Source organism: Homo sapiens, chromosome 8 (assembly GCF_000001405.40).
Source record: "Homo sapiens chromosome 8, GRCh38.p14 Primary Assembly".
Lineage (NCBI taxonomy): Eukaryota > Metazoa > Chordata > Mammalia > Primates > Hominidae > Homo > Homo sapiens.
Window position 1 is genome coordinate 127,715,816 of NC_000008.11, and position 15,657 is coordinate 127,731,472.

At 43.0% G+C, this 15,657-nt stretch overlaps 1 long non-coding RNA gene across 2 annotated transcripts in view; it reads right to left on the minus strand.

Annotated features, from left to right (window-relative positions):
* The window catches only part of CASC11 (cancer susceptibility 11), a 33,360-nt gene that overhangs the window by 15,208 nt on the left and 2,495 nt on the right, over nucleotides 1–15,657 (minus strand). Inside the window, exon 2 of one of the 2 annotated variants that reach the window (NR_117102.1) lies at nucleotides 132–353. This is a non-coding gene — a long non-coding RNA (cancer susceptibility 11). Of the gene's footprint in view, nucleotides 1–131; nucleotides 354–14,378; nucleotides 15,108–15,657 lie in introns of those variants that run through there. The other variant, NR_117101.1, reaches the window with a different exon arrangement.

The window sequence follows — 15,657 nt, forward strand, 5'->3', positions numbered from 1 at the left end:
CAGGGTAAATGTAGCTTTCTGACAGAGGTCCTCATTTTGACTTTAAGTAACAAAGAAGTGTTAGTGTTTTGGTTGTTTCCTTTTGTTCATCTTAGACAGCTAAATGGCACATAGGCCGCCTTGGCTCATACCTGTAATCCCAGCATTTTGGCAGGCTGAGGCGGGCAGATTGCTTGAGTCCAGGAGTTCGAGATTAGCCGGGGCAATATAGTGAGACCCTGTCTCTTCACATCCCTGTGGTCTCAGCTACTCAGAAGGCTGAGGTAGGAGGATTGCTTGAGCCTGGCAAGTTCAAGACTGCAGTGAGTCGTGATCACACCACTGCACTCCAACCTGGGTGAGAGTGAGAGATCCTGTCTCAAAAGAAATAAAAATGAAAGACACATAATTCACAATCCATGTCAAGAAGACCTTGCTTACTCTGTTTTCTCAGTGGACTTTGTGGCCATTCTCTTTCTCCTGAGCTATCTGTATCATAGGTAAGTTATACAGTCCTATCCCTCCAAACTTACCTTTAAACACATTTCATGATAAGAGGGTTTTGCACCTAAAACCTTTACCCTCAGAAGTTTATCTTATCCATTAGTGGGTCATCCAAGACATTTCCACCAACCCAATAACGCACAAGTAAAGCTAAGTGAACATTTGTTGAAAAAAAATTACTAAATATTAAGTTTACATTGATTGAACACATAATATGCGCCAAGTACTATAAGCGCATTATATGCATTATCTTAATTATTCCTCCCAAGAATTCCATGAGGTATTTATTATCCCCATTTTAAAGATAAGAAGATGAAGGCTGAGAGAGTTTGAGTAGTACAGATTTATGGAGTAGGGACAACAGCATTGGAACTTGATGTCCTCTCTTCTCTAACCACGACACTGCCTAGTTCAGAAATTACCAATCTGAGGAAGAACAAGTGAATGGACAGTTAACAGGAATGTCCTATTGATTTCTTCAGGCTCTTGCTCTCAAATGGATAAATGAGGGTCTCCTGACCTTCCCTGCCATCCATCTCTTCCGCTTACTTCAACTGCTTGATTTAATTGATATCTTTCAGGAAGCCAAGGTTGGCTAATATCAACTTCAATAAAAATTTAGCTTTAGAGATGAACCAAAATGAACCACATTTTCCCAGTGATAACCCACTTAAGCTTGGCTCATGCTCTCCAGTTTCAAAATCTCCATCCTGTCCTCTTCACACTGCCTGAATTTGAATCCCTGTTCCACCATTTACTTTTTTTTTTTTCTTTTTGAGATAGTCTCACTCTGATGCCCAGGCTGGCGTACAGTGGCATGATCTTGGTTCATTGCAACCTCCGCCTCCTGGGCTCAAGCAGTTCTCGTGCCTCAGCCTCCTGAGTACCTGGAACTAAAGGCATGCACCACCACACCCAGCTAATTTTTGTGTTTTTAGTAGAGACTGGCTTTTGACACATTACCCAGGCTGGTCTTGAACTCCTGGCCTCAAGTGATCTGCCCACCTTGGTACCATTTATTCTTGAATCCCAGGCAAGCTAACATTCCCACACTGCAGTTACCTCTTTTGTAAAATGTAAATAAAATGGGCACTGATCTGATTGGGTTGCTGTGGGGACTAAATGATGAATACATGTAAGTGCTTATTGGAGAGTCAAAGGCTGAAAATCTCTCCATCCTTTCAGTATGTCTCTGGGACTGCATTAATGATCTCGCCTGGAGAGGCAGAGGTTGCAGTGAGCCGAGATCGTGCCACTGCACTCCACCCTGGGCAACAAGAGTGAAACTTCATCTTAAAATAATAATAACAATAATCTCACCCAGAGATAATGGCCAATATCTCAAGGCCCTTGATGAGTGAGAGAGTGGACCAAATCACCCTTCTGTTTTCCCCTGTCCATCCCCACCCCAGGTTTCATGTTGAGATTTTACAGAGAAAAAAACATAGTCCACTTGTAAAGTAAACCAAATAAAGGCTGGGAGTGTTGGCTCATGCCTATAATCCCAGCACTTTGGGAGGTCGAGATGGGTGGATCGCTTGAGTCCAGGAGTTCAAGACCAGCCTTGCCAACATGGTGAAACCTCATCTCTACAAAAAACTGCAAAAATTAGCCAGGTGTGGTGGTGTGCACCTGTAGTTCCAGCTACTCAGGAGGCTGAAGTGGGAGGATCACCTGAGCCCAGGAGGTTGAGGCTGCGTTGAGCCGCGATCATGCCACTGCACTTCAGCCAGGTGACAGAGGTGAGGGAGGTCTTGTCTCAAGAAAAAAAATAAAATAAAATAAATCCAATAAAATGTCTGAAAACTCCTAACCTCTCAGTGTTCTCCAAGTCTCCTTTCATTGCAACTGTCAGCATCTTCAGTTCTGTGTCTTCTGCACCAGGAGCCATCTCCACAGCGCTTCCCATCCACCCACAGCACTTTTTATTACACTGCCAGGTGTAGCCATCATCTACAGGGGAGCAGCCCTCTATTCTGATAAGGCATAAAAAATGAGCTGCAGACTGAGAGTCCAGCCATGTGTCCTTCTGCCTTATCTGCAAATCCCATCATCAGCAATTTTCTCGAGCCTGTTCAGGTCACTTCATTCTCTTATCCTCACCTACAAATGCTCCTATTCAGTCTTTCTTGGGCTCCTTTAGGAAAATGCACTAATAATGTACTATCTATTTTTTTTAATTGGAGTATCAGTTAAGATGTGTTTCTGTCATTTGTGCAATTATTAGATGTGCTTCCACTGTAAATCAAAGAAATGCAGACTACAGCAAAGCTGTTTTTAAAATGATAATAAACAGTACTGACATGAGTCTCATTAGTGTAGCACTCTCATATATTCCTGAGGCAGTGCAAATTACAACATCTCCTTTTTTCCTCAAGCTTTAGTAATATGAATCAAGGACTTTACAAATGCCTCTGATTCAATAATTCTGGATTCTATACTAAGAAAAGTATCCTAAAAATTAAGAACAGATTTATTCCCAAAGATGTTCATATCAGTGTTATTTACCATAGCAAATCAATGACACACTTCAAATTTTAAAAAGGAAATGATTAAATGAGGTATTTTATAATCACCTAATAGACTATTTTGCAGCCATTTAACATTTGCTTTCAATGATGCTGACAATTTTTGTAACACAATGTGAAATGGGAAAAAAGGCAGATTCAAAGGAACATTTATAGCATGATTACAAATTTATAAAACAAAAACTTTCATTTAAAAGAAAGATAAGAAAATATAAGGGCACAAAAATAAATGAATGTTATTATGGTAAATCAACAGGGCTGTGAGAAAGAATAAGGGTCCTAATTTAGACAGGAAGGTCAGGAAAGCCTCTCTGAAAATGTAGAAGATAAACAAAAATTAGTCAAGGAAAAAATTAAACAAGGAAATAGCCAGGAAAGGCCAGGTGTGGTGGTTCATGCCTGTAATCCCAGCACTCAGATGGGCAGATCACCTGAGGCCAGGAGTTTGAGACCAGCCTGGCCAACATGGTGAAACCCCATCTCTACTAAAAATACAAAAATAGCTGGGTGTGGTGGTGCATGCCTGTAGTCCCAGCTACTCAGGAGGCTGAGGCAGGAGAATCGCTTGAACCTTGGGAGGTGGAGGTTGCAGTGAGCCAAAATTGTGTCACTGCACTCCAGCCTGGGTGACAAATTGAGACTCCATCTCAAATAATAATAATAATAATATTAAAGCAGAAACAGCCAGAACAAAAATTTAAATGGAAAATTTAAATTAAATTTTTAAATTAACCAAGGAAATAATTAATCAAGGAAAAAAATAGCATGTACAAAGTTTCTGAGTCAGGAAAAACAGGATAAATAGGAATTACTGAGGCACTGACTATTAAGTGCTAACTATACATTGACAGTTGAGTCGGAACTAAAATGTCCTTGCATTGAATAGTATTCATTTTATTTGTTGACAAGAAAGCTTGCAACTAAAAGTCTGAGCCTGGCATGTGATAGGAAAAGGTAGTAACAATAGTACTTATCCCCAAGGCTGTCATGGAGTAAAGCATTGCTAGACCTAAGCACTTACAACAGGCCTGGCAAATGACCAATAAGCACATGGAAAGTTGCTCCATGTTGGCAGGACATGGTGGCTCATGCCTGTAATCCCATCACTTTGGGAGGCTGAGGCAGGGCAGATTGCTTGAGCCCAGGAGTTCAAACCAGCTTGGGCAAGATGGTGAAACACTCTCTATGCAAAAATACAATAATTAGCCATGCATGGTGGCATATGGCTGTAGTCCCAGCTGTCCCAGCTACTCATGAGGCTGGAATAGGAGTATCAATTGAGCTCTCAAGTTCAAGGCTGCAGTGAGCCGTGACTGTGCCACTGCACTCCAACCTGGGTGAACAGAAAAGACTCTGCTTCAAAAGAAACAAAAAAACAAAAAAGAAAGGCAAGTCAAAAAGCACAGTGAGATACCACTTCACGCCCACTGACATGACTATAATGAAAAATAGAGAAAGAAAGATAACAACAAGTATTGACAAGGATGTGGAGAAATTGAAACTTCATATACTGCTGGCATGAATATAAAATGGTGCTGGATGGGCACGGTGGCTCACGCCTCTAATCCCAGCACTTTGGGAGGCCAAGGATCACCTGAGGTCAGGAGTTCAAGACCAGCCTGGCCATGGTGAAACCCTGTCTCTACTAAAAATACAAAAAATAAGCTAGGCGTGGCTGGGCGTGGTGGCTCACACCTGTAATCCCAGCACTTTGGGAGGCCGAGGTGGGTGGATCATGAGATCAGGAGTTCAAGACCAGCCTGGCAAAGATGGTGAAACCCTGTCTCTATTAAAAAATACAAAAATTAGCCTGGTGCGGTAGTGGGCACTTGTAATCCCAGCTACTTAGGAGGCTGAGGCAGGAGAATCGCTTGAACTTGGGAGGCAGAGGTTGCAGTGAGCCGAGATCATGCCACTGCATTCTAGCCTGGGCAACAGAACAAGACTCCTTCTCAAAAAAAAAAAAAAAAATTAGCTAGGTGTGGTGGCAGGCACCTGTAATCCCAGCTACTCGGGAGGCTGAGGCAGGAAAATCACCTGAACCCAGGAGGCAGAGGTTGCAGTGAGCCGAAATTGTGCCATTGCACTCCAGCCTGGGCAACAAGAGGAAAATTCCATCTCAAAAAAAATAAAAATAAAAATAAATAAATAAATAAAATGGTGCAACCACTTTGAAAAACAGTTCAACATTTCCTCATATGGTGAGAATAGAATTACTATATGAAGGCTGGGTGTGGTGGTTCATGCCTGTAATCCCAGCAGTTTGGGAGGCCTAGGTGGGTGGATTGCTTGAGCTCAGGATTCCAAGACCAGCCTGGGCAACATGGTGAAACCCTGCCTCTACCAAAAATACCAAAAATACCAAAAATCAGCTGGACGTGGTGGCATGCACCTGTGGTCCCAGCTACACGGGAGGCTGAGGTGGGAGGACTGCTTGAGCCCAGGAGGCAAAGGTTGCAGTGAGCGGAGATTGTGCCACTGCACTCCAGCCTGGGCAACAGAGGGAGACCCCATCTCAAAAAAAAAAAAAAAGCAAAACTATATGATCCAGCATTTCCATCCATCAATAGATAGATAGACCCAAGATAAAAGAACACATATATTCACACAAACATTTGTACAGAAATGGTCATAGCAGTATTATTCGCAATCCCCAAAAAGTAGAAACAACCCAAATGCCCATCAATGGATGAGTGGATAAATAAAATGTGATATATCCATACAATGAAATATTATTTATCAATAAAAGGAAGTGAAGTACTGATAATACTATACCACGGATGAACTTTGAAGTGATTATGCCACATTAAAGCAGCCAGGACAAATGACCACACATTGTATGATTCCATTAATATGAAATGGCTAAAATAAGCAAACTCATAAAGACAGAAAGTAAGTTGATGTTTGCCAAGGGCTGAATATGTTGTGGGAAATGGGGAGTAACTGCTAATAAGTACAGGGTTTCTTTGGAGGGTGATGAAAACGTTGTAAAATTGATTGTGGCCAGGCACTACAGCTCACACCTACAATCCCAGCTACTCTGGAGGCTGAGGTGCGAGGATGGCTTGAGCCCAGGAGTTCAAGACCAGCCTAGGCAACATAGTGAGACCCTGTCTCTAAAAGGTTTTCTAAAATTAGCCAGGTGCATATGCCTGCAGTTCCAGATTCTCAGAAGCCAGAAGTGGGGAGGATCTCTGGAGTTCAGGAGTTTGGGACCACGGTAAGCTATGATTGTGTTACTGCACACCAGTTTGGGTGACAGAGCGAGACCCCTTCTCTCAAAACAAATAAATAAGATTGTGGTGATAGCTATACAACCCTGTGAATAACTAAAAATTGTTGAACCATGCACTTTAAGTGCATGAATTTTATGGCATGTGAACTTTATCTCAATAAGGCTGCCATTACAAAGCTAAAAAGGGAGGCAGGTGCATGAGCACATATATGTCTAATATTAGCTAAAATAGTATCACCATTATTAAATAAACTTTTAAAAAATACCTTCTTTCTGAGAATGCAATTCTTCCTTATAATCAGAACCATGAATATACCAGGAAACTTTTTAAATCAGGGAACAAATGCCTACGAAGGACAGGCACAAGCCAGAAAGGGACTATGGATGAATTAAGTGGGCTGAGCATATGGGAGCGGTGGAGACTGGGGCAAACTGAACAGCTCCTGGCCCTTTTAAAAGAAATCGGCTGCTCCTCAACTTCCATCCACTTCTGAATGCAGTTCCAGAATTACCAAATCTGCCTGTTTAAGGAAAGGCACAAATTCAGATTGTTAATGTGAAATCTATTGACTTGTAAGTGTTGGCACCTATTTTTAAATGTTATAAATGCTGAGAGGGTCAAAACCTGTCATCCAAGCCAACCTACCAGTAAGCAAGACTTGGTCCTCAAGCAAGTTTGCTGCCTCTGCTTTGAGTACTTTAGCATGACTTTCAAAACCTCCCACCTCCCCCTCGCCCTGCCTAAACCCACTTTACCCCTCACCACCACTGCAAGAAGTTATCCAAGCTATGAAGAGAGACAGAAGAATTCATACATAAATAAAGAGTCCCAAAACATTCTCAAAGATGCCAAAGTCAGGCTAGGGTGGCATGGAGAGGGAGTGGGGCATAAAGTTTTTGATTCCTAATCTAATTAGAGAGCCCTATAACAGATTCTTTGTTCAAAGACCAAATTTAATTTACAATTTTATATCTCCAGTGAAGTCAGCTTTTATTAATTTCCAGCACAATATTTGGATATACTGGCCAGAACTTCAATGAGTTCCTATTTAGTGTTTAATCTTCTAATGCATTCCAATTAATTATTTCAGTTTTATGGCAAACTGTCTTCAGCCAACATCCAAGCTGGACACCCCATGCCTCTCCACTCACCCAAAAAACCAGCTCGGGAGGTGTCAATATAATGACTTAAGATGCTGAATGGTAAAGGACAGGATTGGAAGGAAATTGCGCCTGCAATTATGCACTAATGCTTCACCAGAGAAGCAGATGGCATTCCTTGCATAAATTATTATTTATCCTTGGAATTCCCCTCTGCCTATTACCAAATCAACCCTTGAAAACAAGTCTTTGTTGGGTCTGTGAAGTCCCCTGGCCAGTTTCCAATGTCTGCTCCCTCCCTCACATCCCACCCTCCAGAGCTGCAGCGAGGGTAAGAACTCCAACATGGCCCACAGGCAAGGGTTTCCGAAAGCATCGACGTTCTAAATACATTTGGACGGAGGTGCACAGAAAGGAGTCCGCTTTATTTTGCAGACTGGGAATCCAGATGCAATGACCACAGGCAGAAAGCATGGAGCAGAACCTCCCAGCCTCGGCTGTACCCCCAGTGATAAGGCTTGCCACGTGTGGACGTCACCAGGTTGCCCACCACAGCACGGGGCTTAGGCTGTACTGTGCATTCTCTCATGGAATCCTTGAACAAGGATTGAGGTGGGCAATGATGTTCCACTTTGAGGAAATGAAATGAAGAAACCAGAGACTCTGAGACAAAGAAAAGGGCTTTGGGTTTTTTTGTGTTTTTTGGCTTTTTATTTATTTATTTATTTTGTACAGATGAGGTCTCACTTTGTTGCCCAGATTGGTCTCAAAGAATGGTGCTTTGGATTAGATCTTATTGTGATGAAAAATAAAAAAAAATTAAAAATTTTTTAATTTAAAAAGAATACTGCTTTTTTTTTTTTTTTTTAACAGGGTCTCTCTCTATAGCCCCTCTCTATAGAGTGTACAGTGGCACAATCTCAGCCCGCTGCAACCTCTGCCTCCCAGGTTCAAGCGATCTTCCCACCTCAGCCTCCTGAATAGTTAGGACTACAGGCATGTGCCACCACGCCTGGTTAATCTTTTGTAGAGATGGGGTTTCGCCATGTTGCCCAGGCTGGTCTTGAACTCCTGAGCTCAAGCGATCTGGCCACCTCAGCCTCCCAGAGTGCTGGGATTACAGGTGTGAACCACCATGCCCAGCCAGAACACTGTTAACCTTAACATCAACAGGCAGCTACCATTTTCGAGTGCCTGCAATGTCATTTAACCTTTAGGAACAGCTCTGGGAGACAGCTATAGTTGTTGCCATTTTCTGCAGATTGAGAAACTGAGGCTCAGTTAAGTGACGTAATTCTAAGGCACCACACCCAGTCAAGCGCAGTGACAGAATTCGAACTCTGGCTTGTAGGGATTCACAGGACTGCCAAAGCTTACGCTAACCCATTTCTTCTCCTGTGCACCATCATTGCCTCATTCTCTGCCCTCATTTTCTTTATTTATTTTTATTTATTTATTTTTCTTTTTTTGAGATGGAGCTTCACTCTTGTTGCCCAGGCTGGAGTGCAATGGCACGATCTCGGCTCACTGCAACCTCCACCTCCCGCGTTCAAGAGATTCTCCTGCCTCAGCCTCCTGAGTAGCTGGGATTACAGGCATGCACCACCACGCCCAGCTAATTTTGTATTTTTAGTAGAGACGGGGTTTCTCCATGTTGGTCAGGCTGGTCTCGAATTCCCTACCTCAGGTGATCCACCCGCCTCGGCCTCCCAAAGTGCTGTGATTGCAGGCGTGAGCCACCGTGCCCAGCCGCTCTGCCCTCATTTTCTCCCCAAAACCAAAGTCTACTTTACAAGCACAGATATTACTAACTTGTCTTACGAAACTTTCCAGAAGAAAGAGAAAGAATATATGTTTTACCAAGCCCCTTGGAGGACAAGGATTTGTTTCTGTATCCACTGTCTCGATACTCATGGTGCCTTTTACCCCTTGGCATTATGCCCCAGGAAAGTGGCAAAAGTAAGAGGTAACCTCTCCTTCCTTCCTTATTTCCCTAAGGAAATTTGCTCTGGTCACCAGCAGCAGAGAAATAGAAAGCGCCGGGCACCTGGCTCGACTGGGGCAGTGACAGGGCAGAGGCGGCCCAGGTTATGGTATCAAAAGGTTTCTGGTGCTGAATCTCATGACTACTATTCACCGTGTGAGTTTAAGCAAGTCCCTGCAACACCTCAATTTTCCCCATCTGTTAAATGGAATTTTAACCTACACCTCCTAGGATTACTATGGAGATTTAAGGAGGCAATGCAGTGGGGCTTTCTAACCTTTTTAACTCACTGAGATACATTTCCCGTATCGTCCAAGTGCAGACACACACACACACACACACACAGAGAGAGAGAGAGAGAGAAAAGAATACTTCATCTGCAACACACTTTGATATTTTCTGTGCCAGCCCATTTTGTGAAATTGCTCATCATGATTCATTAAATTCATTTCTTATTTACTATTTTTAAATTTTTATACATGCAGGGGGCTCAAGTGAGGATTTCTTTCATGTATACATTGCATAGTCGTCAAGTCTGGTCATTAAATGTATTCATTATCCAAATAGTGAACATTGTTAAATTGATTTCATGATCCACTAAGGGGTCATCATTTGCCATTTTAAAACTCTGACAGTATGAGCTTCTCCCTAGCCCAGTTCCTGTTACCATCTTCCCATTCTTCCCTTCCTTCTTCAATTCAGATAGGATTTTCCTCCAGAGGGATTATAAAGTTGCGAGGAAAGCGCCTGCAGGGGGTGCTGTTCCACACTGTTGTTGAAGTGTGGTTTGGTTTTTATTTCGTTGCATTTGCTTTTCGGTCAATGAGGGCAATTCATCTGGAATGACCCCCATCCTCGTCACCCTTGCTCCAACGATGTTGGGGCCCAGCTCATCAACAAGGACACCTGAACAGAGCCCTACCCATTGATGGAACCGAAGCAAGGGCAAGGAAGAGTTCTCAACCCTTCTCTCTATATACGATTAAAACTGGGTTAGGCTAGGTGTGCCCTCAGCTCAGAAGCTCTCTCTAATAGCATTCCTTCACTAAGCACTTACAGAGTGCCTACCACGTGCCAGGCATTGTGCTGGGCTCTGGAGACCACCTACTCTGTGAATGGCACCTTGAGGCTTGATGGGTGAGAACGCGAGTAAAACACAATCCATACTGACCCCAGAAGCTTCTCCTCAAGGAATCAGACATTAAAAAGCACAAAAACTATAAAGTTGATTTTTTTTTTTTTTTTTTTTTTGAGACAAGAGTCTTGCTCTGTCACCCAGGCTGGAGTGCTGTGGCACCATCTGGGCTCACGGCAACCTCCACCACCCAGGTTCAAGCAATTCTCCTGCCTCAGCCTCTCGAGTAGCTGGGATCACAGGCATGCGCCACCATGCCCCGCTAATTTTTGTCATTTTTAGTAGAGACAGGGTTTCACCATCTTGGCCAGACTGGTCTCGAAATTCTGACCTCGGGTGATCTGCTCACCTCAGCCTCCCAAAGTGATGGGATTACAGGCATGAGCCGCTGCATCTCTGGCCAAAACTTGAATGTTTGTTTGTTTTGAGACAGGATCTCACTCTGTCATCCAGACTGGAGCACAGTGACACAATCTTGGCTCACTGCAGCCTCAACAGCCACGGCTCAAGCAATCTTCCTCCTCCACCTCAGTTTTCCAAGTAGATAGGATTACAGCCATGAGGCACTGCACCCAGCTAATTTTTTTTTTTTAATTTTTTTGTAGAGACAGGGTCTTACTGTGTTGCTCAGGCTGGTCTCAAACTCCTGGGCTCAAGTGATCTGCCGGCCTTGGCCTCCCGAAATGCTGGGATTACAGGTACGAGCCACCACGCCTGGCCAAACTTGTATTTTCTAAGACAGAAGAATGAGGGGATGGTTTAAACTCTCAAGGGAAGGGGAAAGGATCATGAAAAGCTCCTACAGGAAGATGCTTGAGTTGGATTACTAAGACATATGAGCAGAGATGGCAGGCTGGCAGCCTGAGGGCCACCTCTGCCCATAGACATGCTTTGCTTCTCCATATCATTTTTTTTCCCAACACACTGCTGCTGGCTTGAAATCTCCATATAATTCTTACAATAAGTTGTTAACATTTTAAAACCTGGATTTCCACCTTCCCTGAAAAACTGGAAGCATTTCCACCCATGGGCCCATATTTCAGGGTAACCACCAGAGCAGGTGCCAAATGGGAGCCACCAGACCTACACAGGCAAATGCTCTCCAGTTTACCAGTCTCCACCACTCCCTATTGTATTCTTCGTTTACATTTCCTGCCAAACCTCTGTAAGCATCTGAGTTGGCAACCCTTGATGTGTTAGCGGAAAATGTGGATCAGAAGTTAGAAAGAGTTTCTAAACCTGGTTGTTGATTTACGCTTTATGCTTTGAAGGAAAACAGTTTTTCCAATGCCCAGATCCACTCACCAAGACAAAAAAAAAAGCAAGCTGTAGATTTCAGTAGCAGCCTTGTCTAGCCAGCAATAAAGGTGCCCTGGGTTTCCAGGACCACACCCCAGGGATTAGCCCCGGGGCATCATATGAATTCAGTGAAAGGCGGGAAATCCTAACATAAAGCGTTGATTCGTATTAAATAGGAACAATGCCTAATTCTGCCTTCCTGAACTTCCAGAATTTTGCTTTTTCTGAATAGAGTGATCTGCAAAACAGCATACACTTGGAATAGTAAGTCGTGCAAGAGTTGGAGACAGGAAGGGGGTGGGTTTGGAATTGTCTCCAAACATTAGATAATCTCTTTGTGATTCTAAACCTCAACTTGACAAGCTTGTATTAGTCCACAATTTTTCACACTTGATGAAGTGATAAAGGACATCAATTTCATGGAACTCACTATGAAACACCATGCAATATTGATACATTTAACTTAAAACAGCTCAATACATAACTTTCTGCTAAATCTGGAACTCACATTAACAATTGCTAACATTTGCTGAGTGTGGGCCAGACAGCAGGCTCTGTGCTGAATGCCTTATCTCACTTAATTCCTGTAACACCTTCAATAAGATAGGTGCTACAATTATAGTAATCCCATTTTACAGATGAGAAAAGTGAGATTCAGAGAGGTCATGTGACTTGACAGATTTATCAGGTGATCATGACAGAGTAGTCCTCCAACCAAGCTGATTCAGCAACCCGTCCTTATATTCTAGATTCTTGTGTAGCCAAAAAGTTATTGAGAAAGTCTGCCCATTGACTTCATTCTCTTACCCAGTGTAGAGTCAGCATACATTCATTCACATTAACTATGGGCCAGACTTGATTCCTGGCCTTGGGACTTTTTTTTTTTTTTGGCAGGGGCTGATAACATTCTATTTTATTTATTTATTTATTTCTCTCTCTTTTCTTTTAATTATACTTTAAGTTCTGGGATACATGTGCAGAACATGCAGGTTTGTTACATAGGTATACACATGCCATGGTGGTTTGCTGCACCTACCAACCCATCATCTACATTAGATATCTCTTCTAATGCTACCCCTCCTCTAGACCCCCGGGACATTTATAATCTCATGAAGAAGAGAAAAAGGAGGCCTTTCTCTGACAGCTAGAAAACCACAGTTAGTCTATTTTAGCCGGAGACCCTGGATTCTACCCTGAGAACAAAGGTTTATGTTTCAGCAGCTTAATTAGAGGTTTTCCAGAACTTTTTCTGGCTCCATGCTTTTATGATTCTGTAAGATGATCATGGGAAAAGGAAGAGTCCACAGAGAAAATGGGGCTTGAACTTGGGCTGGGAGGAAAGGTGGTTCTTAGATAAATCAAGAAGAGAAGAGACAGTAAGTCTGGGGAACTGCCTGAACCAAAGTGCTGAGGTGGAAACTTGTGTGTCACTCAGAGTGGCTGTAAATAGACCTGTTTCTCTGAAGTGCAGAGTTGGTAAGAAATAGGGTAAGATAAGGAGGAGGCCAGATGCATGAGGGCTTGGAATTCCAAGCTCATAATGGAGAACCTCATTTTGGACCATGGGGGTCAACTGAAGAATTTTAAATGAAGAGGAAAATTAATCAGTGTGCAAGGTTAAATGGAGTGGCAGAGACTAGGAGCTATTAGGAATCTACTGCAAGATGATTCTAACAGCCATAGGTAGTGGGTAAAAGAGGAAAGTGAGCCAATAAGGGAAACAGAAGAACAAGTTGAATATGTGGGAATATAATCAGGAGAATGTGGAGTGAACCCAGGGATTCTCAACCTCAGCACTGGTGACATTTTGAGCCCCACTCTCTGTTGTGGGAGCCGTCCTGTGCAATGTAGGACATTTAGCAGCATCGTTGGCCTCTACCCACTAAAAACGCCAAGTAGTAAGGCCCCATCCCTTAGTGACAACCCAAAATGTCTCCAGACATTGCCAATTGCCTCTGGTTGAGACCCACTGATTTATGGAAATCAAAAGAATAATCATTTCCAAAAGCCTGACAGCAAACAGCAAAGTCCAAAAATAAAATGAGAACAAGACCATTGGCTTTGGTGGTTGGAGGTCATGAGATACCTTCAAGAAAGCACCCTCTATAATATCAAGTCCATGTAGAAGACGTTACAGAGGAAACAAACAATATAAAAGTGAAAACAACCAAGGGTGAGCTACTCTCAGAAAGTATGCCTTTGAAAAGAAAGTCAGAAGCCATAGCTTGGGATCTCTGCAGATCCCTAAAAGAATAGATTCCTATTCTACTGACTTTCTATGAAGATCAAATTGTAAAAAGCAAAAGTTTCTCTCCAAGGGTTTCCTTTGCAGTGACCTGTATGTCCAACCACGCAAGGGCCCATTGTGGGGACATATGTTGTCCAAAAGGACCATAGCAGAGACAGGCCAGTGAGCCAAAGTGTGGAAACTTTTGAGACTGGCTTGAGCTTGGCACTTATAGAACAATAAACCAAGCCTTTGAAGGGGTTCAACAAAGGAACCATTTGTCCACTCTAGTAGCTACAAAGTAAGGCAGGGTTGCAGCAAAGAACAAAAAAATAAAAGAAGGCCAAGCTGGAGGTATGACCAAAGTTTACTAGGTCCATTCTGAGACCTTCTGCTAGGGTCTGAGATCTAGAAGACAGTGAATAAGGAAACAAACCCAAAACTCAACGCAACACAGGATATGGAAGCTCTCAGGCCTGACGTTAACAGCATCTACTATTTTTCTTCTCAGCTACTTTAATGAATGCAGTATACTAAAAGCCAGGAGGGGAAGGGACAACACTAAGCAAAAAACATGCATTTTTTAAAATGCACAGATTTTCTTCACTGCCGTTTTTGTTATCATTCCTATGAATTAGTGATGCCGAATTTCATTTTCTCATCTGCTGAAGAGCTTTCCTGTGTTCCTCTCGTTGGAACACATGCTTGGCATTAAAATGCTTGTGAGAACTTCTCTTCCTTTAACGTTCCCTGGCTAGCTTGGTTTTTAATCTAACAGCCCTTCTTTCAAAATGATCCTTCCACTGGAGATAGATATTTATCATTCTCTTCCTTCACCTCATCTCTTGACAGGCCGCACGTGACTTGAAGGAATTTTTCAAATAGCAGCTCAGCCACCCTGAGGGGCTTCAGTCTCACCCCTAAGTTCGCTGGCTTTTTCTTCACCACGTCCAGTTGCTTTCCATCTTATTAACTGCTCTTTTCACTAGAGGACCAACTCAGTAGGAAATTTTTTGAGAGGTGGAGAAAGAGATGTTCAAAGAAGGTGTTGGGGTCGGGGGAAACTGGTTTTATTTTATACAAGTCACACATTCTGAATCTTCCCTTTTGTGTCTCTGGGGAGAAAGGAGAAAGTTTGATCAAATCGCTCATTATTTCTGCACTTCTTTCTTTTTTCCTAAGTATAAAAATATATGACTACTACTACTGTGAGACTATGTGATTGTGAGAATGAATGATTCTTTTTTTTTTTTTTTTTTTTTTGAAACGGAGTCTCTCGCTGTCACCCAGGCTGGAGTGCAGTAGCACGATCTTGGCTCACTGCAACATCTGCCTCCCGGGTTCAAGCAATTCTCCTGCCTCAGCCTCCTGAGTAGCTGGGACTACAGGTGCGCTCCACCACCCCCAGCTAATTTTTGTATTTTTAGTGGAGACGGGGTTTCACCATGTTGGTCAGGCTGGTCTTGAACTCCTGACCTCATGATCCTCTCACCTCGGCCTCACAAAGTGCTAGGATTACAGGCGCATGGCCAAGAATGAATGATTATTTGTGCCTTCCTATGTGAAAAAAAAATGTTTCCTCTAGCTACACACTATTCTGTTCTGTGAGGCCGCCCCATCAGACTGTTGACCTAGAGTCCCAACCCCGGCCCTCCAGGAGACCTG